Below are 23263 nucleotides of genomic sequence, written 5' to 3' on the forward strand. Positions count from 1 at the left end.
CCTTCCTGACACAGCCCCAGCTGGCTACTCCCAGGTTTCTGGGAAAGGGGACAGCTCAAGGCTCCACTGGCCTCATCCCTGGCTGAAGGGAGCCTGGAACTTTCAGAGGCCACCTCCCTGGGGTCCCTCTGCTGCCCCCTGATGTACCTGAAGCCGTCCCAGGCTTGAGTCCCAGGCAGGGCCAGCCAGTCTGCACAAAAACCTCCAGGCAGCCGCCAGAGATGGCCCCAGACAGAGAGACACCAGCCCGCCCCCCAGCTATACTCAGAGATGCCAAGAGACCCTCAGAAACACTTGGGGGCCACCATAGGCATGCAGAGACACCTAGGGACACTCAGAAACGCCCAGGGATGCCCAGAAAACCTCAGAGACCCCCAAGATCCTCAGAGACATTTAGAGACCTTCAGAGACTCCCAAAGACCCTCAGAGACCCTCAGAGACCCTCAGAGATCCCCAGAGACCCTCAGAGACCCTCAGAGATCCCCAGAGACTTTCAGAGACATTCAGAGACATCCAGGCTGGGCATGGTGGCTGACGCCTGTAATCCTAGCACTTTAGGAGGCTGAGGCAGGTGGATCACCTGAGGTCAGGAGTTCACGACCAGCCTGGCCAACATGGTGAAACCCCGCCTCTACTAAAAATACAAAAATTAGCCAGGAATGATAGTGCACGCCTGTAATTCCAGCTACTCGGGAGGCTGAGGCAGGAGAATCACTTGAACCCAAGAGGCAGAGGTTGTAGTGAGCTGAGATTGTGCCACTGCACTCCAGCCTGGGTGACAGAGCGAGACTCTGTCTCAAAAAAAAAAAAAAAAAGGCTGGGCGGGGTGGCTCACGCCTGTAATCCCAGCACTTAGGGAGGCTGAGGTGGGTGGATCACAAGGTCAGGAGATTGAGACCATCCTGGCTAACACGGTGAAACCCCGTCTCTACTAAAAATACAAAAAATTAGCTGGGCGTGGTGGTGGGTGTCTGTAGTCCCAGCTACCGGGGAGGCTGAGGCAGGAGAATAGCGTGAACCTGGGAGGCAGAGCTTGCAGTGAGCCAAGACCACGCCACTGCACTCCAGCGCAGGTAACAGAGCGAGACTCCATCTCAAAAAAAAAAAAAAAAAAAAGATAAATATTCAGAGACATTGAGACCACCCAGAGATCCTCACAGACCCTAGAGATGCCCTGGAAAGCCCAGAGGCCCCCCCCCCCGCGAAAGAAAAAAACATGGAGAGCCAGGCAAGAAGCTCCCTGGGGTGGCCCCGCCTCAATTCAACCCCATCACCACATTCACCCAACACCCTCAGGTCCTCAGAGCCCACCCTGAGGTGGGTGATGCCAGAGTCCCTCCAGGCCTCAGCCTGGGTGCTGCCCCAAGAACCCTCAGTCTAGGCAGTGGGGCAACCATGGATGCCTGGCCCTGTGGAGTCAGATCAGGCTGGAACAGGGTCAAGGGCTGCCCTCCCCCTTCCCCAGCCACCTGCACAGACCCCAAATCTCCCACCCCAGCCTCCTCCTTCCTGGTTTTCTGCCACCTCCATCCTCTCTGTGACAGCCATGAGGCAGAGCAGGGGAATTTAAAAACCCTCCCCCACGCCAGGCGTGATGGCTCATGCCTGTAATCCCAGCACTTTGGGAGGCCGAGTTGGGAGGATCGCTTGAGCCCAGGAGTTCAAGACCAGCCTGGGCAACATAGTGAGACTCTGTCTCTACAAAAAAAAAAAAAAAAATCTTTTTGAGACAAGGTCTCTGTCCGACACCCATGCTGGAGTGCAATGCTAAAATCATTGCTCACTGCACTGCATCCTCAGCCTCTGGGACTCAGGTGATCCTCCCACCTCAGCCTCCAGAGTAGCTGGGTCTGCAGGCACATGTCACCATGCCTGGCTAATTATCTGTATTATTTTAAGAGATGGGGTTGGCCAAGTGCAGTGGCTCATGCCTGTAATCCCAGCACTTTGGGAGATCGAGAGCAGGCAGATCACGAGGTCAGGTGATCGAGACCATCCTGGCTAACAAACACAGTGAAACCCTGTCTCTACTAAAAATACAAAAAATTAGTTAAGCGTGGTGGCGTGCGCCTGTAGTCCCAGCTACTCCGGAGGCTGAGGCAGGAGAATGGTGTGCACCTGGGAGGCGGAGCTTGCAGTGAGCTGAGATTGCGCCACTGCACTCCAGCCTGGGTGACAGAGCAAGACTCCGTCTAAAAAAAAAAAAAAAAGACAGAGAGAGAAAGAAGAGAGATGGGGTTTTTGCCATGTTGCCCAGGCAGGTCTCAAACTCCTGGGCTCAAATGATCCTCCTGCCTCAGCCTCCCAAAGTGTCGGGATTACAGGCGTGAGACACTGTACCAAGCCAAAAACTTTATTTATTTATTTATTTTTATGAGACAGGATCTGGCTGTGTCGCCCAGGCTGGAGTGCAGTGGCACATTCTCGGCTCACTGCAACCTTCCCTTCTCGGGTTCAAGGGATTCTCATGCCTCAGCCTCCCAAGAAGCTGAGATTATAGGTGTGCGCCACCATGCCCAGCTATTATTATTATTACTATTATTATTATTATCATTATTATTATTATGTAGAGACGGGGTTTTGCAATGTTAGCCAGGCTGGTCTCAAACTCCTGGCCTCAAATGATCTTCCCACCTTGGCCTCTCAAAGTGCTGGGATTACAGGTGTGAGCCACCACGTGCTGCCTAAAAAAGTTTTTTTAAATTAGCCAGGCCTGGTGGTGTGCGCCTGTAGTCCCAGCTACTCGGGAGGCTGAGGTGGGAGGATCCGTTGGGCCCAGGAGGTCAAGGCTGCAGTGAGCCATGATTGTGCCACCGCACTCCAGCCTGGGCCACAGAGTGAGGCCCTATGTCTAAAAAATATAAATTAAAAAAAAAAATACAAAGTCTGCCCGCAGGTCCGCTGCTGGTGGAATCCAGTCTTCCCCAGAGAGATGGGGAGGGCTGAGCCAAGCACCAGAGACCCTCAATAAGGCCTGGAAGTCTGGAGGGGTCTGAGGGGCTCTGGAGCCAGCGGTCAGGACCAGAAGTAGGTGTAATGACCATGAGTCTGGGCCAGGGAGGACTTAAAGGAACGGCTGGAAGGTGGACTGACATGGACATTGTGGACCTATACGCATTCATTCATCAAACGATGATTGAGGCTGGCTCAGACACTTCCAAGCTGTGTGACCTAGGACCCGCACCTCAACATCTCTGTGCCTTGGCTGCCTCCTCTGTATTTTTATATTTTTTATTTTATTATTATTATTATTATTTTTGAGATGGAGTCTCGCTCTGTCTCCTAGGCTGAAGTGTTAGGGGCATGAACTTGGCTCACTGCGACCTCTGCCTCCCGGGTTCAAGCGATTCTCATGACTCAACTTCCCAAGTAGCTGGAATTACAGATGCACACCACCACGCCTGGCTAATTTTTGTATTTTTAGTAGAGACGGGGTTTCACCTTGTTGGCCAGGCTGGTCTCGAACTCCTGACCTCAGGTGATCCTCCCACCTCGGCCTCCCAGAGTGCTGGGATTACAGGCGTAAGACACAGCACCCAGCCCAAAGCATGACTTTTTAATAACATGAGAAGACCTTGTTTAAGGTCACATGGCCTTGTTAGTTATAGTAATGTTTTTTTTGTTGTTGTTTTTGTTTTTGAGACGGAGTCTCGTTCTGTTGCCCAGGCTGGAGTGCAGTGGCGTGATCTGGGCTCACTGCAAGCTCCGCCCCCCGGGTTCACGCCATTCTCCTGCCTCAACCTCCCAAGTAGCTGGGACTAGAGTAGCTGGGACTACAGGCGCCCGCCACCACGCCCGGTTAATTTTTTGTATTTTTAGTAGAGACGGGGTTTCACTGTGTTAGCCAGGATGGTCTCGATCTCCTGACCTCGTGATCCACCCACCTCGGCCTCCCAAAGTGCTGGGATTACAGGTGTGAGCCACTGTACCCGGCCTTAGTAATTTTTGTTTTGTTTTGTTTTTTGACGCAGAGTCTGGGCTCAGTCACCCAGCCTGGGGTGCAGTGGCGCAATCATGGCTCACTGCAACCTGCACCTCCTCGGCTCAAGTGATCCTCCTACCTCAGCCTCCCAAGTAGCTGGGATTACAGGTGCACACCACCACACCCGCCTAATTTTTCTATTTTTCTGGTAGAGACAGGGTTTCACCACATTGCCCAGACTGGTCTCAAACTTCTGGGCTCAAGCAACCCTCCTGCCTTGGCCTCCCAGAGTGCTGGGACTACAGGCATGAGCCACCACGCCCGCCCTGCTGGTTCTAGTAAAATTTTAAAAGCCACTGAATACCTTTGGGAGAGTCGTGGGGAAATAAAACGTGGCATGAAGGCAGCCATGGTCGGCCAAGCATGTCCCACCTGTGAGGCTTGCATTTCTTGGCTGACAGTGACGCTGACCACGGGAGGCCACGTCATGGCCACATGGCTCTCTTGAGAGCAGTCTTCAACCACAGACGGAAGGAGAGTTGGCTGTAAATGCCTCCGCTCCCTCCACCCTCAGGTAGGACAACAGAAGCACCTCTTCTGTTGCTGTCTCCCTGAGAAAGGACCCATTCCTGGTGGCCCACGTTGAACCTGCTCGCTGGCACCCCCTGCAGGGCTCCCCTTCCCTTCCTGCCTCTTTAACCCCCAGGAGGGCTTCTGGGATCACCTCTCAGATAATGCCCCTGAATTGAGTCTTAGAGTCTCCTTCACCAAGCCACCAATTTTTTTTTTTTTTGAGACTGAGTACCGCTCTATCTCCCAGGCTGGTGTGCAGTGGCACCATCACGGCTCACTGCAAACTCCGCCCCCCAGGTTCAAGTGATTCTCCTGCCTCAGCCTCCTGAGTAGTTGGGATTATAGGCGCCCGCCATCGCACCCGGCTAATTTTTGTATTTTTAGTAGAGACAGGGTTTTGCCATGTTGGCCAGGCTGGTCTCGAACCTGATCTCAGGTGATCCGCCTGCCTTGGCCTCCCAAAGTGCTGGGATTACAGTCGTGAGCCACCGCACGCGGCCCAAACCACCAAATTAAGACAGTTCTTTTGGTTTGTTTTTTTGAGACAAGGTCTCACTCGGTCACCCAGGCTGGAGTGCAGTGGCGTGATCTCACTCACTGCAACCTCCACTTCCTGGGCTCAAGCGATCCTCCTGGCTCAGCCTCCCATGTAGTGGGGACCATGGGTGTGGGCCACCACACTTGGCTAATTTTTTGATTTTTTGTAGAGATGAGGGTCTTGCTATGTTGCATAGGCTGGTCTCAAACTCCTGGCCTCAAACGATCCTCCCGTCTTGCCCTCCCAAAGTGCTGGGATTACAGGCATGAGCCAACATGCCCGGCCTAAATCAGCAAATTATAAAGGAGATTAGACAGTAATAGTGCTGTGGTGCTGATCTGCCTATGGAGTGGCCATTCTTTTTTTTTTTTTTTTTGAGACAGAGTCTCGCTCTGTCATCCAGGCTGGAGTGCAGTAGTGCGATCTGGGCTCACTGCAACCTCTACCTCCCAGGTTCAAGCGATTCTCTCGCCTCAGCCTTCTGAGTAGCTGGGATTGCAGGTGTGCGCCACGTCAATTGGCTAATTTTTTGTGATTTTGGTACAGATACGGCTTCACCATGTTGCCCATCTGTTCTCGAACTCCTCAGCTCAGGCAATCTGTTTGCCTCGGCCTCCCAAAGTGTTGGTATTACAGGCGTGAGCCATGGCGACCAGCTGTAGCCATTCTTTTATTATTTTACTTTCTTAATAAATTTGATTTCACTTAAAAAAAAAATGCCATGGCCAAAAAATTAGAGTCAAGGAGTCGGGAGAGTAGGATGGTTCAAAGATTTTTCTTGTTTTGAAACAGAGTCTTGCTCTGTCACCCAGGCTGGGGTGCAGTGGCACAATCATGGCTCCACCACATCCAGCTAATTTTTTATTTTTTGTAGAGACAGGAGGTCTCACTGTGTTGCCCAGGCTGGCCTCAAATTGCTGGCCTCACGTGATCCTCCCTCCTCGGCCTCCCAAATGCTGAGATTACAGGCATGAGCCACCGTGCCTGGCCTGGTTCAGTTTTTGTTTTTTCTTTCTTTTTTGAGTCTGAGTCTCGCTCTGTCATCCAGGCTGGAGTGCAGTGGCTCAATCTCGGCTCACTGAAATCTCTGTCTCTCAGGTTCAAGCGATTCTCCTGCCTCAGCCGCCTGAGTAGCTGGAAATACAGGCGCATGACACCACACCTGGCTAATTTTTGTTTTTTGGAGACGGAGTCTCGCTCTGTCGCCCAAGTTGGAGTGCAGTGGCACGATCTCGGCTCACTGCAAGCTCCGCCTCCCGGGTTGAAGCCATTCTCCTGCCTCAGCCTCCAGAGTAGCCGAGACTACAGGCGCCCGCCACCACGCCCGGCTAATTTTTTTTTGTATTTTTAGTAGAGACGGGGTTTCACCGTGTTAGCCAGGATGGTCTCGATCTCCTGACCTCATGATCCGCCCGCCTCGACCTCCCAAAGTGCTGGGATTACAGGCGTGAGCCACCCCGCCCGGCCTAATTTTTGTATTTTTAGTGAAGACAGGGTTTCACCATGTTGGCCAGGCTGGTATTGAACTCCTGACCTCAAGTGATCCGCCCACCTCGGCCTCCCAAAGTGCTGGGATTACAGGCGTGAGTCACCGCGCCCGGCCTGGTTCAGTTTTAAACGGGCTAGTCAAAGAAGGCCTCTCTAGAAAAAAATATGGACAAACAAGAAAAAAAGATGCGCAGGGAGGAGTTCAAAATGGGGACAGGATTTTTGGGGGTGTGGCGTGACTGGGTGATGTTTTCTATATTTGCCTCCTCCTTGCCATGAAATAATTCAATACAGAAATATGTAAATATACATTTGTAAGCCGACCTGAGAGCAAGGGCAAGGTCAAGAGAGGCAGACTAGATTCCACCGCTGACCCTTGGGGTCTTAGCTCAGGGAGGCCTCAAGGGGATGCTGGGGGCGGGACCTGCTGGGATTCTCAGGAGTTGCTACATTGAGTCTCTGCTGCCCTCAAGTGGTTATATTCGGAACCGCAGGTGCTGGCTGCCTTGGCGAAGGCAGGCAACTCCGTAGACCACACAGAGGAGTTCAGCACAGAGGGGACATTGGTAATCTTTAGTCCATTTGCTCAGCAACAAATATTTGTTGAGCACCTACTGTATGCCAGAAAGTGTTATAAGCGCTAGGGACACAGCCCTGAACAAAACATACAAATTTCGGCCGGGCGCGGTGGCTCACGCCTGTAATCCCAGCACTTTGGGAGGCCAAGGCAGGAGGATCACTTGAGGCCAGGAGTTCAAGACCAGTCTGGGTAGCATAGTGAGACCCCCTTCTCTACAAAAGAAAGCAAAACATAGAAACCTCCTGCCCGCATGGAGCTCAAGGGTTCCTGGGGCAATAAATATGCAAAAATTAACAAACAAGATATCCAGGAAGGGTCAGGTGCATGGGCTCACGCCTGTAATCTCAACACTTTGGGATGCCAAAGTGGGCAGATCACCTGAGGTCAGGAGTTTGAGACCAGCCTGGCCAACATGATGAAACCTTGTCTCTACTAAAAAAATACAAAAAGTAGCCGGGCGTGGTGGCACACACCTGTAATCCCAGCTACTCGGGAGGCTGAGGCAGGAGAATTGCTTGAACCCAGGAGAGGGAGGTTGCAGTGAGTCAAGATTGCGCCACTGCACTCCAGCCTGGGCAACAGAGCGAGACTTCGTCTTAAAGAAAAAAAAAAGTATCCAGGAAGATCCAACAAGGTAATATAATCCAAACAGAGGTTTGGGGACCTCTCCGAGGGTATGTCACTGGAGCTGAAGCCTGAAGGATGAAGAGAAGCTGGCCATGGTGTACAGTTGTAGAAAAGGTATCCCGGCCAGGAGAAAACCCAATGCAAAGGCCCTGGGGTGGGATGACCTGGATGCATTTAACATAATCATGTCAAAACATGCTCAATATCAGGTACTTACCAAGTGTGGACTCTGTGGTGTTGTTAAGCCAAAGGACCCCCAGAAGGGAAGAAAAGACTCGTGTCCCTGTACCATCCCGAGAGGGATGGACCTTAGGGTACCACAGGAAATCTTTCTTCCACCAGTAAGAAGAGAGACTGAATCTGGGCACAGTGGCACACATCTGTAGTCCCAGCTACTTGAGAGGCTGAGGCGAGAGGATCGCTTGAGGCCAGGAGTTCGAGACCAACCTGGGAAACAAAGTCAGACCCCCCACACACACACACAAAATAAAATTAGCTGGGCTTGGTGGTGCACGTCTGTTGCCCCAGCTACTCGGGAAGCTGAGCTGCGAGGATCGCTTGAGCCCAGGAGTTTGAGGCTGCAGTGAGCTGTGATTGTGCCACTGCACTCCAGCCTGGGTGACAGAGTGAGACTGTCTCTAAAAAAAGGAGGATGAGGGCCAGGTGCAGTGGTTCATGCCTGTAATCCCAGCACTTTGGGAGGCTGAGGTGGGTGGACCATCAGGTCAGGAGGTCAAGACCAGCCTGGCCAAGATGGTGAAACGCCGTCTCTACTAAAAATACAAAAATTAGCCGGGCGTGGTGGCAGGCGCCTGTAATCCCAGCTACTCGGGAGGCTGAGGCAGAGAATTGCTTGAACTCAGGAGGTGGAGGTTTGCAGTGAGTCGAGATCGCACCACGGCACTCCAGCCTGGGCAACAGAATGAGACTCCATCTCAAAAAAAAAAAAAAAAAAAAAGGAGGAGGCGGAGGCTGGAGCTCTAGACAGACGAGGTGAGGAATGGGCATTGTCAGGGTACCTCGAAGTCAGATCTGGTGCCTCCACTCCCTGATTTGTGTCCCCAGGCAAGTTGCTTTGCTGCTCTGAACCTTTCTCAGACATAGGTGAGTGCCACCTATGGGTCTCTCACACGACACCCTTGATGCCGTGATGAGCCTCAGTTTCCCCATCTGTAACATGGGGAGAAGAAATGACAGCCAGGAGTGGTGGCGCACACCTGTGGTCCTAGCTACTTGGGAGGCCAAGGTGGGAGGACTGCTTAAGCCCGGGAGGTGGAGGCTGCCAAGGCAGCTGGTTGAGGTTCAGCGAGAGCACTGAAGCAGAGCGCTGGGTGCACGGTAGCTGGGGCTTCCAGTAGCTGGCTCTGAGTTGAAGATTCAAGGGCAGGTGGGATCAGGTGGGGTGAGGGGATACCTGGGAGGTGACCCCAGGAAGCTCCTGGTAGGGAATGGGACATGAGACAGGAAGGGAAGGAGCCCTACAGGGGGCACCAACTGCCAACAGACATGACACATGTGGATGAGTGGCGCTCAGCCCCGCCTGGGACAGCTGGGGGACAGTGTAGATGCTCATCTCAGAGGGGTCCCACTCAGGGGCGAGGAGCGTGGGGTGTTTTGGTTTGGGTTTTTTTTTTTTTTTTTTTAGACGGAGTTTTGGTCTTATTGTGGACGTGGGGGAGGGACGACGAACGTGAGGGTGGGAGGTTGTAGGTTCAGCAGAGGCTCCTCGGCCAGGAGTGCAATGGCACAATCTCAGCTCACGGCAACCTCCGCTTCCTGGGTTCAAGAGATTGTCCTGCCTCAGCCTCCTGAATAGCTGGGATTACATACAGGCACGCGCCACCACGCCTGGCTAATTTTTTGTAATTTTAGTAGAAATGGGGTTTCACCATGTTGGCCAGGATGGTCTCAAACTCCTGACCTCAGGTGATCCACTCGCCTTGGCCTCCCAAAGTGCTGGGATTACAGGCGTGACCCACCACACCCAGCCCTGTGGGGTGTTTATCCACCCCCAACCTCATTTTGATTTCCCAGAAAACAGACCCAAGATGGCACACTGAGAATGTGGGGCACATGGGTATCCGGCCATGGGAGCTGGGGAAGGGCCCTGCAGGGGGTGCCCAGGAGCAGGGGAGGTCGTGGGAAATGAAGCTCAGTCCTGTCGGAGACCTTAGGGAGACTGGCATGTCCTTAGACGGGGCATTCCCAGGGCAGGCACGGTGGTGGCTCACACCTGTAATCGCAGCACTTTGGGAGGCCAAGGCGGGCAGATCGCCTGAAGTCGGGAGTTCAAGACCAGCCTGGCCAGCATGGTGAAACCCCGTCTCTACTAAAAATACAAAAATTAGCCAGGTGTGGTGGCAGGCACCTGTAATCCCAGCTACTCAGGAAGCTGAGGCAGGAGAATTGCTTGAACCTGGGAGGCGGAGGTTGCAGTGAGCCGAGATTGTGCCACTGCACTCCAGCCTGGGCAACAGTGCAAGACTCCATCTCAAAAAAACAAACAAACAAAAAAAACGGCATTCCCTCGGCCAGAGAAAGCTACAGGTGAGGAGTAGCAGAAGCTGGCGGTGGGGAGTGCAGCCACGTGGTTAGGCCCAGGATGGGCTGCAGCCAGCGTGCACCCAGAGCTACCAGCAGCTATTACAGACCCTCCTCCTAGACCTGGGATTTCTAAGAGACACCTCGAGTCTCCCAGACCAGACAGGGTACTGGAAGCACTCTGATGGGTGGGGTATTGCCTCTGGGTCGCTCACATGACGTCCTTGGTTCCTTTACGAGCCTCAGTTTCCCCATCTGTAACATGGGGAGAAGAAATGATGGCTGGGCTTGTTAGTGCATGCATTTGGTCCCAGCTACTTGGGAAGCTGAGGTGGGAGGATCACTTAAACCCGGAGGTTGAGGCTGCAGTGAGCTATGATTGTGCCGCTGCACTCCAGCCTGGGTGACAGAGTGAGACACCCATATCTAAAAAGAAAAACTAGAGATGCTGCCACCTTCTTTGGTCTGGAAGGAGGACATTACCAGAGGATGGAAGCCAGTTCCCAAGGGTTAGTATGACTCTGGAGTTCAAGTGCAGGGCAGAGGGGTGGGGCTTCGATGTGTGGCCGGTGAAAGCCACACAAGGTGCTAGAAGCACAGAAGTGTACCGGCTTTGGTTAAGCTTTGTGGAGGACGGACGTGGGGGTGTGAGTTGCAGGTTTGGCAGAGGCTTCTTGGCCAGGCCCTCCTGTATCCCTTCTGTCACCCGGAGTCCCTCGCAGCCCTGTGGGATTGGTGGCATGACCCAGTGGCTTGGAGGGGTCACTGAAGTTCAGCTGTTTCCCGGTCAAGGCCACACAGTGAGCCAGGGCACAGCTAGGTTCAAACCCAGGCCCAGAGCCTCTATCTGTGAGTTTCCGCCTCCAGGCAACTAGTCTTGGGGTATAATCCCCATTTCAGAAACCCTAGCTGGCTGTCCAAGGAGTGAGGCTGTCTGAACACCCCTCTGCCCATGCTGGCCACCCCCAGCCTTCCTGAGTCAAAGGCCCAGCTCCTCCCACCCCCCACCCTCGACCTACCCTCGTGTTCACCAGCTGCTGTGGCTGCTCCCACCCTGGTGTTGTTTGGGTTTTAATTTTTGTGTTGCATTTAGAAAATTACCCATAATTACAGCTTCTGAGAGGAAACGGTCTCCTAGCGCAGACCCGGCTCCCAGCTGTGGCCGCCTCCCACGCACGCACGGCTGGGGAGGGGTTGCAGGGGGCGCCAGCCCCAGTCCTGGCCCCTCCCAGGGCCCCCCACTTTAATGAGGAGGAGGGAGGGAGGCCGTTTCCGCCACCTATGGAGAAGAAAAACCACCAGCAGGAAAACCCAACCCGGCCTCCTCTGCAGGAATGGGGAGTACTCGTGGGCCCCCCCACTGCTGTGTCCTCAAGGAGACAGGACCCAGAGGAAGGCGGAGGCGGCCAACTGAGGACGGGATGCGTTATTTCATCCGAATACTGCCAAGTCCAACTAGGGACTGTGCGGAAACAGTCTTGCGGGGGCAGTGCCCAGGGAAGGCTTGGAGGAGGAGGAGGAAGAGGAGGAGGGAGAGGAAGAGGAAGAGGAGGAGTTGGCCTCCTCCCCCAGGAGGACCAAGGAGGAACCCTTGGCCAAAGGAGGAGCCTCAGTAGGCCAGGCCAGAAGCCAGAGAAAAAGCGTTCCAGGCGGCAGGAACCGCTAGCGCAAAGGCTTATGGGTGGGACTGTGCAGGGTGGATCCAGGGTGAGGGTACAGTCGGCCCCTTCTCCTGGCAACCTCCCTGCCCTAAAAGAAGATTCTCCTTAGGGCTCCTCCAGGCACAGCCCCTGACCCGTATTTAGGGGACATCCATGGTGGGTGACTCACCACTGTCCACCCCAAGAAGCAGAGACCCAGCCGAGGACCTGCCCTGGGCCCCTTCCCCGGGGCAACCTCCCCGCCCCCTCTGTGCCACCTTGATCTCACTGGCAACGGAGCTTCTTAGGTTTTTTTAGTTTTTGTTGTTGTTATTTTGAGACGGAGTCTCACTCTATGCCCAGGCTGGAGCGCAATCTTGGCTCACTGCAACCTTCGCCTCCCGGGTTCAAGCGATTCTCCTGCCTCAGCCTCCTGAGTAGCTGGGATTACAGACGCCCGCCACTACACCCAGCTAATTTTTGTGTTTTGAGTAGAGAGGGGGTTTCACCATGTTGTTTAGGCTGGTCTCGAACTCCTGACCTGAGGTGATTCGCCCGCCTCAGCCTCCCAAAGTGCTGGGATTACAGGCATGAGCCACCGCGCCCGGCCGGTTTTTTTAGTTTTTAGTAAGAGTCTTGGTCTGTCGTCCAGGCTGAAGTGCAGTGGCACGATCACAGCTAACTGCAGCCTTCACCTGCTGGGTTCAAGCCATCATCCTGTCTCGGCCTCCGAAGTGCTGGGGCTACAGGCACACGCTGCCACCACGTGCGGCCTCCCATGGAGCTTCTTAAAATCGTGACGTAGATCCCATCCTCTCCTCGCGGCTCCACACCCTCCCATTGCTCCCTAATGCTCTTAGAAAAAAATCTCACCCCCTCCCCTCTGGGCGTGGTCTAGCTCTCTGCCTTCCCTGCCATCATCCCCCTCTTCTTCACCCTGCCCCGGCCACGGCTGCTTCCTGGCTCTGCCTCCAGCGCCTTCGCCGTGTGCCCACCTCAGGGCCTTGGCCCTTACTGTGACTACAGTCTGAACATTCCACTTCCAGGTCTTTCAAATCCACCCCTCCTCTCCCCGTTATTAATAATTTTTCCTCCCCGCCCTGCCCGTCCTTCGCGTGGGTGGGGGGTCCCTTTCTGCGGGTTCTGCCCCCGCAAGGCGTGCGCCCTGGTTGGGAGTGCGCGCGGCTCAGCTCCCCGACGCCGCGTGGGACCCAGGGCCCGCTGCCCTCGCACTTTTCCGCCAGCGCCCAGGCTGTGTTTGGAGATCCTTCCCGGTTGCCATGAGAACCGCGCTCCTCGCTCCCGCCCTCCGCGCCTCCCCCATCACAGCTCTCTGGGCCGCCGGCGCCTCAGCCTCCCTCCCTCCTTCCCTCCCTCCCTCCGCCTCCGCCCTCCCCCGGGAGACCGACCGACCCCGCCGTCGCCCGTCCTGTCACCAGGGGTCCCCTCCCTCTCACGCACGTGGCACTCCCTGAAATTAACCGACTGACTCGCCAGCTTTTGACTGTCCGCCTCCCCCATCAGATTCTGAGCTCCAAGAGGTAGCAACGTGTCCCGGCTGGGTCTCCGGAGCCCAGCACACAGTAGGCGCTCAATACATGTTTAATGGGGTGAAGACTCACATTGACCCAAGGAACCGTGGCTCACAGGGGGCGAGGGACCAACCAGGGCACACAGGGCCCTGGGGAGCCACGGAGCTTTAGGAGATTAAACTGGGGGTGGCAGGAGGGGCATCTGCCGGGCCCGGGAGTGCCGGTTGTCACCAAGGCTCTGTGTGACTTTGGGTGAGCCACACCCTCTCTGTGCCTCATTAGGAGTAGGCGCTGGCGGGGGCAGTGGTGGGAGCGGTCATTAGGATGGGAGTGACCTGGACGCCGAAGCCCACGCCCCCCGTGGTCCCCCAGGCTCCGGGGCCGTCGCCAGCCCGAGGCCCTGCGGAATTGTGCGGGCCCCTCCTACCCCGCCGAGCCGGGGCCCGGAGGCCCGCGGGAGAGGAAGCTGGGGGAAGGGGCGGCCGGCTGGACAGGAAGTGGGAAGGGCTGGCGTCCCCCCTCCCGCGCCGAGGCCCCTCGGGGAGGAGGCGGGGCTGGGGCCGGTCCTGCCCTTCCCTTCCTCTCCGCGGGTCTGGAGCCCCGGCGGCTCCCGACTTCCCGCCGGCCAGAAGGCTTGGGGTGGGGGCGGGGGGTTCTCACGTACTGGGGGGCGGCCTCTATCGGGGAGGCATCTGCGGGGTCAGCTGGCAGCGAGAGACATCCAGACATTCACACACAAACACACACACGAAACGTGAGCACAGAGCCACACACAGGTCCTAGGGAGCTGGCGGCCCACCCACGCGCGGAGACACACACGTGCACATTCGGCACACACTTGTGCACGCAACCTCACTGAGCGACTCGGCCCGACTCGGACCCACAACTGCCACCGCGCAGCCAGGGACAGTCGCCGAGACAGCGATAATTTATTGGGTGTTTGCCCGCCCCCCACGCACAAGGATGCACACGTGCACTCACACGGGAGCCGCGTGTTTGCACACACGCGGGCTTGCCTAGGAAAAAAGAGGAATAGCCGTGGCAAACACAGAAACATCTAGACCCAGAGTCAACCGCACCGCCTTCCCCTACCCTGCCCATCCACACACGACCCACTGGTACCCGGGCATCCCTGCCCTGCGGGGGTCCCTGACTCAGTATCCGCCCCCACCCTCTCTGAACACCCCTGGTGGGGGGATGAAGGGCCCTAAAAGGGGAAAAGGGCACCCACTGCCTGCACCCTGACTCCCGCAGACAAAGGTGGGATGCGCCCCATTTACAGCTCACAGCACCGAGGCTGAGAAGCCCAAACAGCAGTCACCCAGCACCTAGTATTGTCACCGGGTGTTACTTCGGGGTGGTGCCAGGTGGCTCCCACAGCCTGGGTACTATAGGAGCTTTGTGTCTGTGTGCCTGGGTTGTGTCTGTGTTGTGTGACTTCGGGCGGGACGCTGAGTGTCCGCAGGCCCTGTGACTGTGGAGCTGGGTAGGGTGTGGTTCTGAGGAGGCCGCGATAGTGCGCCCCAGGGTGACTGTGAGTTAACTCCGTGGGCTCTGTCCACGGCTGTTGGAAGCTGTGGCACGGCCTTGCATAAGCGCGCGCCTGCGTGAGGCTGGGTGCCTGTGTGCGGTGGCCTGTGTTTAGTTGTTCCAGGACGGCCACTGTGAGCTGGGTGTGTGGCAGTGTATGTGTGTCGCTGGGCGGGCTGTATGTGCGGTGGTTCCCACCCTTGCTGAGTGTGGGTAGCTCTGCGGGGTGAGACACCCAATGTCACTGCCTGAGGCTTTATGGGGCTATCCGCAGTCGTTCCAGCAGCGGGGTACACTTTTGCTGTGTGGAGCGCTATGTTGAGTGTCGCTGCGAATGTGTGTGGCTGGGTGTACAACAATGTGGGTGGCCGGCTCCATTTGAGGTGAGTGAACGTGTGTGTGCACGCGCGCGTGTGCAGCCGCGATCAGCTGTGCGTCCCTGGGTGGCCGTCCGGGATCCTGACCCGCGAGTGTGTAGCCGCGCCCCCACCCCCCGCGGCGGGCACTGCGCGTGCGCGCTCCGGCGGCGGGACCCACCCGCGCGCCCGCCATCGCCCCTTTAAGAGCTGCGCCCGCGGGCGGCGTAGAGGCAGCGGGCGGGGGCGCGCGCGGCGGGAGGAGGGGAGCGCGCGTTTCCCGGAACAGCCCGCGCGGAGGAAAGGGAGGAAAAAAAGCCACCCTGCGGCCGGGGCCGGAGCTGGAGCCGCCGCTGCCGCCGCCGCCGCGGCCGTCTGGAGCTCCCCCGCGCGGACGATGCCTGCCGTGCCCGCCTGGGGCTCGGGGCGGTGAGGCCCGGGGCGCGGGGTAGCTATGGCGACGGCAAGCGCGGCCCGCGGCGCCGCCTGACAGGTGTGGGCCCCGGCGGCGGCGGCGTGGAGCAGCATGTACGCCAAGGGGGGCAAGGGTTCGGCCGTGCCCTCCGACAGCCAGGCCCGCGAGAAGTGAGTGCGGGGCCGGGGGCGGGGCTCGGCGTCCGCGCTCTTCCGTGGGCTCCGGCGCGGGCGGGCACCGCGCGGGGCACGTGGGCGCGGGCGGCGGGGAGCGCGAGCCTGAGCGCGCTCGAGGGGTCGCGAGATTGGCGGGGGCGCGCGACCCCCGAGGGGCACGAGATTGGCGGGGGGCGCGCGAGACCCTGAGGGGTCGCCGGAGTTGAGGGTTGGCGGGCGACCCGAGGGGCGCTAGACGGGAGTGGACGGGCGAGACCGGAGCGGCTCCAGGGGTCGCGAGATTGGCGGGGGCGCGCGAAACCCGAGGGCGCGAGATTTGAGGGGGCGCGCGAGATCCCCGAGCGGGTCTCGGGGGTCGCGAGGCCTCCTCGAGACGTGGGTGCGCGAGGCTGCGGACGCATGGGGATCGAGGTCAGCGAAGTTTTCCGGGACGAACAAGAGTGTCGGCTCGGGGACCCCAGTCGCCTGGGGTAGAGCTGGAGAGCGGCTGGAGGGGCGCGCCGCCACCTGTCTGCCCTGGCCCCAGCAGCTGTGTGGGGCCCCTGGGGAAGCCGCACGGTTCACAGTCCAGGGGCGGGTGGGGACGACGGAGCCGCTCTCTTGATACCACTGAAGAGTGCATACTGAGGGCCCCTTTTGTTCTGGGCGTGGCTCCAGGCCGTGGGTACCAGGCGCTCTGAAGCTGGTAGGGGCAGGTTCCACCGTGCGGATGGAGGAAGGGTCGTGGTGGGGCTGAGGTCTCTCGGGGTGGGGAGTCAGCCGAGTGTGCTCTCCGGGTGGAAAGCATTTGAAAGGTGCTTGGAGCAGTGACCGTCCCGCAGGAAGGGCACGGGGCAGTTTGCAGTGTTGTTAAAAGTGCCCAGAGGCCGGGCGCGGTGGCTCACGCCTGTAATCCCAGCACTTTGGGAGGCCGAGGCGGTCGGATCACGAGGCCAAGAGATCGAGACAATCCTGGCCAACATGGTGAAACCCCGTCTCTACTAAAAATACAAAAATTAGCTGGGCGTGGGCGCCTGTAGTCCCAACTACTCGGGAGGCTGAGGCAGGAGAATCCCTTGAACCCGTGGCGCAGAGGTTGCAGTGAGCCGAGATCACGCCACTGCACTCCAGCCTGGCGACAGAGCCAGATTCCATCTCAAAAAAAAAAAACAAAAAACAAAAAAACAGTGCCCAGGAGGAGGGGAGTCTTGTCATAGCTGATGGGGGACTTCCAGGATCCTTGAAGTTGAGCCACCTGGAGTGGCCCGTGGTGTGGAACTGGCCACCCAAGCAGAGAGGAGGCTGGGTCAGCAGGGAGGGGTCCCATGAGGACCTGCCTTGAGGGCCAGGCCAGGAGTGAGGACTTGAATGTCTGGGTGCTGGAGAGGAGCCCTGGACGTTGGCTGAGTGTCCCCCATCCTGCCTCTTCTGCCTAGGCTGACTTGGGATGCCCCACCCCTCCACAAAGATGCCTGTCCCCTCTGCCCAGCCTCTGGGTCATTTTGGAGAAGAGGCTCTTCTGGCTAGAAGGTGGTAGGCAAATGACTGCACTGTCAGGCCTCCCTTGCCTGTGTGCAGTTAGGAAGATGAGCTCCATTTCCAAGCACCCTTAAGCCCAAAGACTTTTTGAAACTGGCCTCTGGCTCCTGCTCAGGTCGGAAGCAGGAGGTGTCTGCCATGGTCACCCCTGGACCCCTGGTCTGTCTCCTGTGTGTCTCCAGGCAGCTGCTGGCTCTGGAGGCATCCACCCACCCAGTGGGAATCGGGATCGTTCACTGATTCAGCATATCTGCCCTGGGTGTCCCTGGGTGTGGCAGTCGGGAAGGCAGGCTCCGGTCGGGATGGCAGGGTCGGTGGCCCTGAAGAAGCCCCCACCCCAGCAGGGAGGCAGGTATCCAGTTAGCAGGAGAAAGCAAAGTGGATGATAGATAGCGAAGGGTGAGGGGATGTCAGGTGGAGGGCACAGCAAGTGCAAAGGCCCTGATATGGGACCAGGAAAAGGAGCTGGGGCTGGGCCCAGGTGGAGGAAGAGGCAGCCTGCAAGAGTGCCAGATGGGCCCCAGTGGGTTGTGTGTGCAGAAGTGCGCTCTGGCTCCCAGGTGGAGTGGGGCTTATAGGGGTCAGGAACAGAGGCTGGGAGGCCCTGGGGATGTGGACACAGTTGTCTGAAAGAGAGCTGGGGAGGCCGGGCGTGGTGGCTCACGCCTATAATCATCCTAGCACTTTGGGAGGCCAAGGTGGGTGGATCATTTGAGGTCAGGAGTTCGAGACCAGCCTGGCCAACATGATGAAACCCTGTCTCTACTAAAAATACAAAAATTAGCCGGGCATGGTGGCGGGTGCCTGTAATCCCAGCTACTCTGGAGGCTGAGGTGAAAGGATCGCTTGAACCTAGGAGGTAGAGGTTGCAGTGAGCTGAGATCGTGCCACTGCCCTCCAGCCTGGGTGACAGGGCGAGACTCCATCTCAAAAAGAACAAAAAAGAAAAACAGTGAAAGAGAGCTGGTGGCAGCCTGGACCCAAGTAAGAAGGAAGAGATTTCATAGGTTTGAGCCGGGGGTGGTAGGGTGAGGGGGTTAGCTGCATTCCTGGCCCCCTTCCCATACTGTCCTCCCACTCCCCAACCTGCCCAGCAGAGGTGCTTTGGGGACACTGGCCTCGGGACTCAAGGCTCTCGGAAGTCCCTCAGCTGCCAGTGGGGAGGCTGCAGGGCCCATCTTTGGTCAGAGCCAGCCTGCATGCTTCCATTTCACGGAGAGGGTCTCGTATAAGTGTTGGTTTGGAGGTGAGGTTCCTCTATGAAAGAAAGCCTGGAAAACGCCAGATGGCCGCATGCACCCATTTCAACGAAAGGGACACCAGGGCCCTGGAGAGGAAGCCACCTGATGAGAACTCAGCTTCTCTGGCACAGATGAGCTCTCAGAGGCAGCCCCAGGCCTCAGTTTCCTCATGTGAAATGTGGACGACCCATCTTTCAGGATCTTTGCAAGGACTGGGTGGGAGCCCGTAGGCAGAGCACCTGCCGGGGCAGCCACGCGGCTCTCAGGAAGTATCTGCCTCGGGCAAGCCACTTCCTGCCTCTGGGCCTCGGTTTCCTTCTCTGTGAAATGGGGTGAAGAGGTTACACTGCTCCAAACCTTGACTCTCCAGCACTGCACTTTTCTTCCTGCAATGAGCCTCATGCCTCCTAAAAATGAGGCGCTGCATATCCTTCCTTCTCTCTCTGGCCCCAATCCTGAGCCCCTTCTGGCTGCCCTTGGAGCCTACAGGCCTTCCCGGCTTACACTAGGTCTCGGCCAGCTGGCTCCAGAAAGGGACCGAGCACCTGGTGGGTGCCTGCCCTCGGGGGCTCGCAGCAGATGGCAGTGACTGTGGAGTGCAGGGGCAGCAGAGTGGGCTGAGGGAGGCTGGGGTCTGAGTGGGCCACTTGCAAGAAGAGGGGCATGTGTATATCCTTCAGCACTCAAGTGTTGCCAGGCAGGTTGAGAAGAGGTCCATGAATCACAGCCATGGTTGGTGTTGCCTGGCAGCTCGTGGGTTTCTCCCGGGCTTGATTTTGAGCCGGCACATGGATGTCGGTGGCTTGTTCATCAGCCTGGCAGGTAAGCCAGGGATGGGATTCACGATTGGACGTGGTCATTTTGGCCCCTGGCTGGAAATGGCTATGAGGGGCAGGTGTGGAGGGTAGTAAGGAGAGGCCGCCACTTTGCCAAGAAGCTGCCAGAGGCCTGGCCTTTAGGGTTGGCAGAGGGGAGGGAGGACGGCGAGGGTTGGAGGGTCAGGAGTGAGACCTGGTGACGGATGGCAAGGTGACACAAAGCCATGAGTGGCAGGTGTCTCCTGCCCCAGCAGCATCTGTGTCTAGGAAGGCGCTGAGCAGGGAGCATCCATTGCAGCCATTCTGGGTAATTATGGTAACTCGCGTCATTACGGTGGTAGCTGTGGTACATTTCAGGCCACCAGGCGCTAGCACCCCATCCTGGCTCTGCTTCCCTGCACAGCCTCATGCTCGCTCCAGGTCCAGGCGCCCCATGTCCTCCGAGTCTTGTGTTCCTTCTGCAGGGAGAGCTGCCTGCTGCTCTTCCGGGTGCCTCCCTGTTTTCCTTTCTGGCCACCTGCCTGTGTGACACAGGGAGCCCTCATAGGTGACAGGCCCTGAGAGGTTGTACCGGCCCAGGGCAGGTGGCCGGTGGGGGGCAGAGGGCATGGGTGATTTGCATCCAGAGCCCTTCCCTATAACTGAGCTCAGGGCCCCAACCGGTGGCGCCCCCAGACCTGGCCCCCGGAGCAGTCCTCTGGGAGGGGAGGACCTTGTAGGTCCCAAAACTCCCTGGCCGAACAGCCAGGCTTCAAAACTTTTCACCCAAAACAATAACAACCCACAGTTCTTCCCTGGAGACTGAATCCTGTTTAAAATAAAAGGACCAATGTGGAAGGGAAATCAGCAAAACCGAAAACTTCCTTTGGCCTCCCATCGCTCCCAGGATAAACTCCCAAATCCTCAGTATGGACAGAATAGCTGCTGACCTTCATCAGTACTTACCCCATGGTTCGCCTAATCCTCCCGGCATCCCAGGAGGGGGTCCCCGGGCCGGTTTGTTCATTCACTGGGGTGACTGGGGCCCAGGATGCCCAGCTCCATTCTAAGGTCGTTGCAGTGAGCAGACTCCAAGTCCCCGCCCCACGTCAAGCTACATTCCATTGGGGGCCCAAGACAGAGACTCTCAGATGGAGGAGACGGAGCAGGGTGGGGGCTTCCATGTGACAGTGAAGCCCCGAGAGGTGACACTGGAGTCTCTGGGTGGAAGTGCCCCAGGCAGGGAAACAGTGCGCAGAGGCCCTGGGGTGACAGGGCAGCCAGTGTGTGGGTCGGGGCGGGGGGCGGCACAGGAGGGTTTGAACAAGGAACATGGGGGTGGGGGGAGCAGCACCTGGAGGGGACTCTGTCGTAATCCAGGTGGGAGACGGTGGGTGGCCTGGCCCAGGTGTGCAGTGGAGGTGGGGAGAGGGGCCCAAGTCAGGAAAGAGATTTCCTTCGGTGTTTTTTTAAACGCAGTGATGTTTGGGGACAGCTGGGTGGATCTCACACAGGTGCACGCCTGTGCGCACGCCACCAGAGGCTCCTTGGACAGGATGCATGTGTAAAGGCCAAGCTGACAGTCTCTGAGCAGGGAGGGGGAGAATGGGGAAGGGGTGGGGGCTCAGGGTGTCGAGGCTGGGCCTCTAGATGTCAAGTGAACAGGGAATCCCAAGTTTGGGGAAGGTCAGGCCATAGCACCCTCTGGACAGCCCCTACTTGAAGGCATCATCAAAACAGGACGGGCGGCCACACAGGGAGAGCAGAGGAGAAGACAGAGCTGGTAGCCGGGGGCGGGGGCTGGAGGCAGGAGGACAGCAGGAGGGGGCGGAGAGGGCGGGGTGGGCTCTAGGGGGCCACCTCCTGGGTTAGGCACTTATGGGGACAGTCGAGGAACAGGAGACAAGGAAGGCAGGTAGAACCCTTCGCAGCCCCCTCCTTCAGGAGTCCCCCTGGGCCTTTTGGACAGCCGTGCCCTGGGTGTGGGGTACCCAGAATGCAGCCTCAGCAGGACCTCCCGCTGCCCCCGCCCTCCCGGGGCCGCTCACCAGCGTTCCTGCAACTCTGTCTTACCCCACTCTGGCCTTTCATGCCCCCTGCTCTGACCCCTAAGTGGCTGGGGTGGGAACTCTCTTCCACACCTGGCAGGTGGGTTGGCACTGGGCTCCCCAGGCTAGTCGGTCTGCCCCTGGAACCTGCTCACCCTGGCCTTGTGTGCTCCCCTTCCACTGATGGACGCAGGCCTGTCAGCCACTAGCCACAGGGAAAAGCTCAGAAGCCTCTAGATGGGCCAGGGTGCCACAGAAGTGAGCTAGACAGGTGGGCCTGCAGGCCGCCGGGCCAGGAAAGTGGAGGAAGAGCAGGTGTGGGAGACTGGAGGGGTGGAGGTCAGGATCTAGCAGGGCCTGGGCTGGGGGCAGTCTCTTCAAGAGTGCTGTGATGATGCAGGGGTGACCATTGGGCGCTGTGTGTCCTGCCCCATCCCTGCCCCTGGGGTGGCCTTCACAGCTCATGTGGTGCAGTGTGAGCCTGGCGCACTCCACCCTGGACCGCCTCCCCTCCCTGATGTCACCCCCCCACTTGCCTTTCCGTAGCCTCAGCGCCTTCCAAGCTGCCACAGAGCTCACCTCTCTTGACAGGTATTGCCTGTCTCTGTCTCTCCCCTCAAGAACATGGCCTCCAGGACAGGGGCCGGGTGTGTGCACTGCGCAAAAGGCACTTCATGGATGCTGGAGGAACTAATGAAGAAGTGAATGAACGAAGGAGGGGAGGCAGGATGAGATTTGGGGCAAGGGCAGTGCCCATGAGGACCAGGTGGGGGCAGGAAGTCCCCATGTTCTCTAGGGGCCGGGGCAGGAACAGGAGGACTGGAAATCTGAAAGGGACTTGGGGGCCCTGATGGGTGGTGGGTGCTAGGATTGGAGCAGCCTGGCTGGGAGGGAGCAGAGCGTGAGTCAAAGGAAGGTTATTTTAGGATGGGGCCCGCAGCCAGAGAGGGCGGCGCAGCTGAGCTGGAGGCGGCTGTGGAAGGGCCCCCAGGCCTGCCTGCTTCTCGCCTCTAGGGCTCAGCCTCAGGCTGGCCCTCTGGTACCCTGTCTTGAATCTAAGAGTCCCCCAACCCCCAGCAGACTCTCGTGGTCCCTAGCTGGACAGTACAAGAGCTCTGAGCAGGGAGCGGCTCAGTTCCAGGGAGGTCCAGAAGGGCTGGTGCCACAGGACTGGGCGACCCTTTGGATAGGGGGTTTGTCCTCTGCTCTCTGGTGTGGCAGCTGGACTGGAGCGGGGTGGACAGTCCGGCCTCCCCCTGTGACCTGCAGAGGGCCGTGCTGGAGCCACCTGGCTGGGCGAGGGTGACTCAGGTCCAAGCCCTTGGGGTGCACAGTGGTTGGGAGGGTGAGTCCAGGGGTCCCTGGCAGGCTGGGGACTCGCGCAGAGCCCTGTGGGTGTTTGGGTAGGGCAGCACCACTGCAGACATGGCACTGCAGGCCCTACCTCCCCTGGCCCCCCACCTCCATTCCCCAGACATTGCCCCAGGTTCAGCACTGCCCTGACTGGGGACAGTCTGCAGAAAGGGTTGAGGCCACCATGGTGGATGGGCATCTCTTCCCCAAGGAAGAGATGGGGTCCAGGGACTGCAGGGGATGTGGGGTGGAGGACCCCTTCCCTCCTTCCTTCCTGGGCCGGGGAGGCTGGGGATGAGTTTGGAGGTGGGCCCTGAGCACACTACATGGCCCAGGGTGCCCAGTGGTCGTCCCCACCCTGCACACACACAGGAATGACACTCCTCTA

General features: G+C 58.0%; 1 protein-coding gene across 21 annotated transcripts in view, besides 12 other annotated features; it reads left to right on the forward strand.

Moving 5' to 3' along the window:
* SSBP4 (single stranded DNA binding protein 4) overlaps window positions 1–23263 on the forward strand; it is a 31838-nt gene that overhangs the window by 1071 nt on the left and 7504 nt on the right. For 6 of the 21 annotated variants that reach the window (XM_006722666.3, NM_032627.5, XM_047438366.1 and 3 more), the window contains exon 1: window positions 15603–15912. The exons of 2 other annotated variants lie outside the window; for them this stretch is intronic. In XM_006722666.3, the coding sequence (XP_006722729.1) occupies window positions 15854–15912 (59 nt within the window). In that variant the 5' untranslated portion in view covers window positions 15603–15853. Of the gene's footprint in view, window positions 1–11998; window positions 12087–15084; window positions 15355–15602; window positions 15913–16220; window positions 16330–16363; window positions 19500–21324; window positions 22289–23263 lie in introns of those variants that run through there. 13 more of the 21 variants (XR_936164.4, XM_006722665.5, XM_005259790.4 and 10 more) reach the window with 8 other exon arrangements.
* Window positions 4366–4866: an enhancer, noted in NCBI's record as "H3K4me1 hESC enhancer chr19:18518971-18519471 (GRCh37/hg19 assembly coordinates)". NCBI's record gives its function as "activates a minimal SCP1, AML or CMV promoter by ChIP-STARR-seq in primed H9 embryonic stem cells {active_cell/tissue: H9 hESC(primed)}" and the evidence as "EXISTENCE:reporter gene assay evidence [ECO:0000049][PMID:30033119]".
* Window positions 4628–4727: an enhancer, noted in NCBI's record as "active region_14317". NCBI's record gives its function as "activates an Ori minimal core promoter by ATAC-STARR-seq in GM12878 lymphoblastoid cells {active_cell/tissue: GM12878}" and the evidence as "EXISTENCE:reporter gene assay evidence [ECO:0000049][PMID:35858748]".
* Window positions 6914–7013: a silencer, noted in NCBI's record as "silent region_10391". NCBI's record gives its function as "represses an Ori minimal core promoter by ATAC-STARR-seq in GM12878 lymphoblastoid cells {active_cell/tissue: GM12878}" and the evidence as "EXISTENCE:reporter gene assay evidence [ECO:0000049][PMID:35858748]".
* Window positions 7034–7083: a silencer, noted in NCBI's record as "silent region_10392". NCBI's record gives its function as "represses an Ori minimal core promoter by ATAC-STARR-seq in GM12878 lymphoblastoid cells {active_cell/tissue: GM12878}" and the evidence as "EXISTENCE:reporter gene assay evidence [ECO:0000049][PMID:35858748]".
* Window positions 10678–12133: a transcriptional cis regulatory region, noted in NCBI's record as "candidate enhancer chr19.2899 targeted for multiplex CRISPR interference". NCBI's record gives its function as "positively regulates SSBP4 gene expression with high confidence in K562 cells {active_cell/tissue: K562}" and the evidence as "EXISTENCE:mutant phenotype evidence [ECO:0000015][PMID:30612741]".
* Window positions 12260–12895: an enhancer, noted in NCBI's record as "H3K27ac-H3K4me1 hESC enhancer chr19:18526865-18527500 (GRCh37/hg19 assembly coordinates)". NCBI's record gives its function as "activates a minimal SCP1, AML or CMV promoter by ChIP-STARR-seq in naive H9 embryonic stem cells {active_cell/tissue: H9 hESC(naive)}" and the evidence as "EXISTENCE:reporter gene assay evidence [ECO:0000049][PMID:30033119]".
* Window positions 13279–13338: a silencer, noted in NCBI's record as "silent region_10393". NCBI's record gives its function as "represses an Ori minimal core promoter by ATAC-STARR-seq in GM12878 lymphoblastoid cells {active_cell/tissue: GM12878}" and the evidence as "EXISTENCE:reporter gene assay evidence [ECO:0000049][PMID:35858748]".
* Window positions 13619–14158: a silencer, noted in NCBI's record as "silent region_10394". NCBI's record gives its function as "represses an Ori minimal core promoter by ATAC-STARR-seq in GM12878 lymphoblastoid cells {active_cell/tissue: GM12878}" and the evidence as "EXISTENCE:reporter gene assay evidence [ECO:0000049][PMID:35858748]".
* Window positions 13774–14013: a silencer, noted in NCBI's record as "fragment chr19:18528379-18528618 (GRCh37/hg19 assembly coordinates)". NCBI's record gives its function as "represses an EF-1alpha promoter that drives an FKBP-Casp9 reporter gene in an ReSE screen in K562 erythroleukemia cells {active_cell/tissue: K562}" and the evidence as "EXISTENCE:reporter gene assay evidence [ECO:0000049][PMID:32094911]".
* Window positions 15379–15928: a silencer, noted in NCBI's record as "silent region_10395". NCBI's record gives its function as "represses an Ori minimal core promoter by ATAC-STARR-seq in GM12878 lymphoblastoid cells {active_cell/tissue: GM12878}" and the evidence as "EXISTENCE:reporter gene assay evidence [ECO:0000049][PMID:35858748]".
* Window positions 19548–20049: an enhancer, noted in NCBI's record as "H3K4me1 hESC enhancer chr19:18534153-18534654 (GRCh37/hg19 assembly coordinates)". NCBI's record gives its function as "activates a minimal SCP1, AML or CMV promoter by ChIP-STARR-seq in primed H9 embryonic stem cells {active_cell/tissue: H9 hESC(primed)}" and the evidence as "EXISTENCE:reporter gene assay evidence [ECO:0000049][PMID:30033119]".
* Window positions 20050–20549: an enhancer, noted in NCBI's record as "H3K4me1 hESC enhancer chr19:18534655-18535154 (GRCh37/hg19 assembly coordinates)". NCBI's record gives its function as "activates a minimal SCP1, AML or CMV promoter by ChIP-STARR-seq in primed H9 embryonic stem cells {active_cell/tissue: H9 hESC(primed)}" and the evidence as "EXISTENCE:reporter gene assay evidence [ECO:0000049][PMID:30033119]".

This window comes from Homo sapiens, chromosome 19 (assembly GCF_000001405.40).
Source record: "Homo sapiens chromosome 19, GRCh38.p14 Primary Assembly".
NCBI classification, from domain to species: domain Eukaryota; kingdom Metazoa; phylum Chordata; class Mammalia; order Primates; family Hominidae; genus Homo; species Homo sapiens.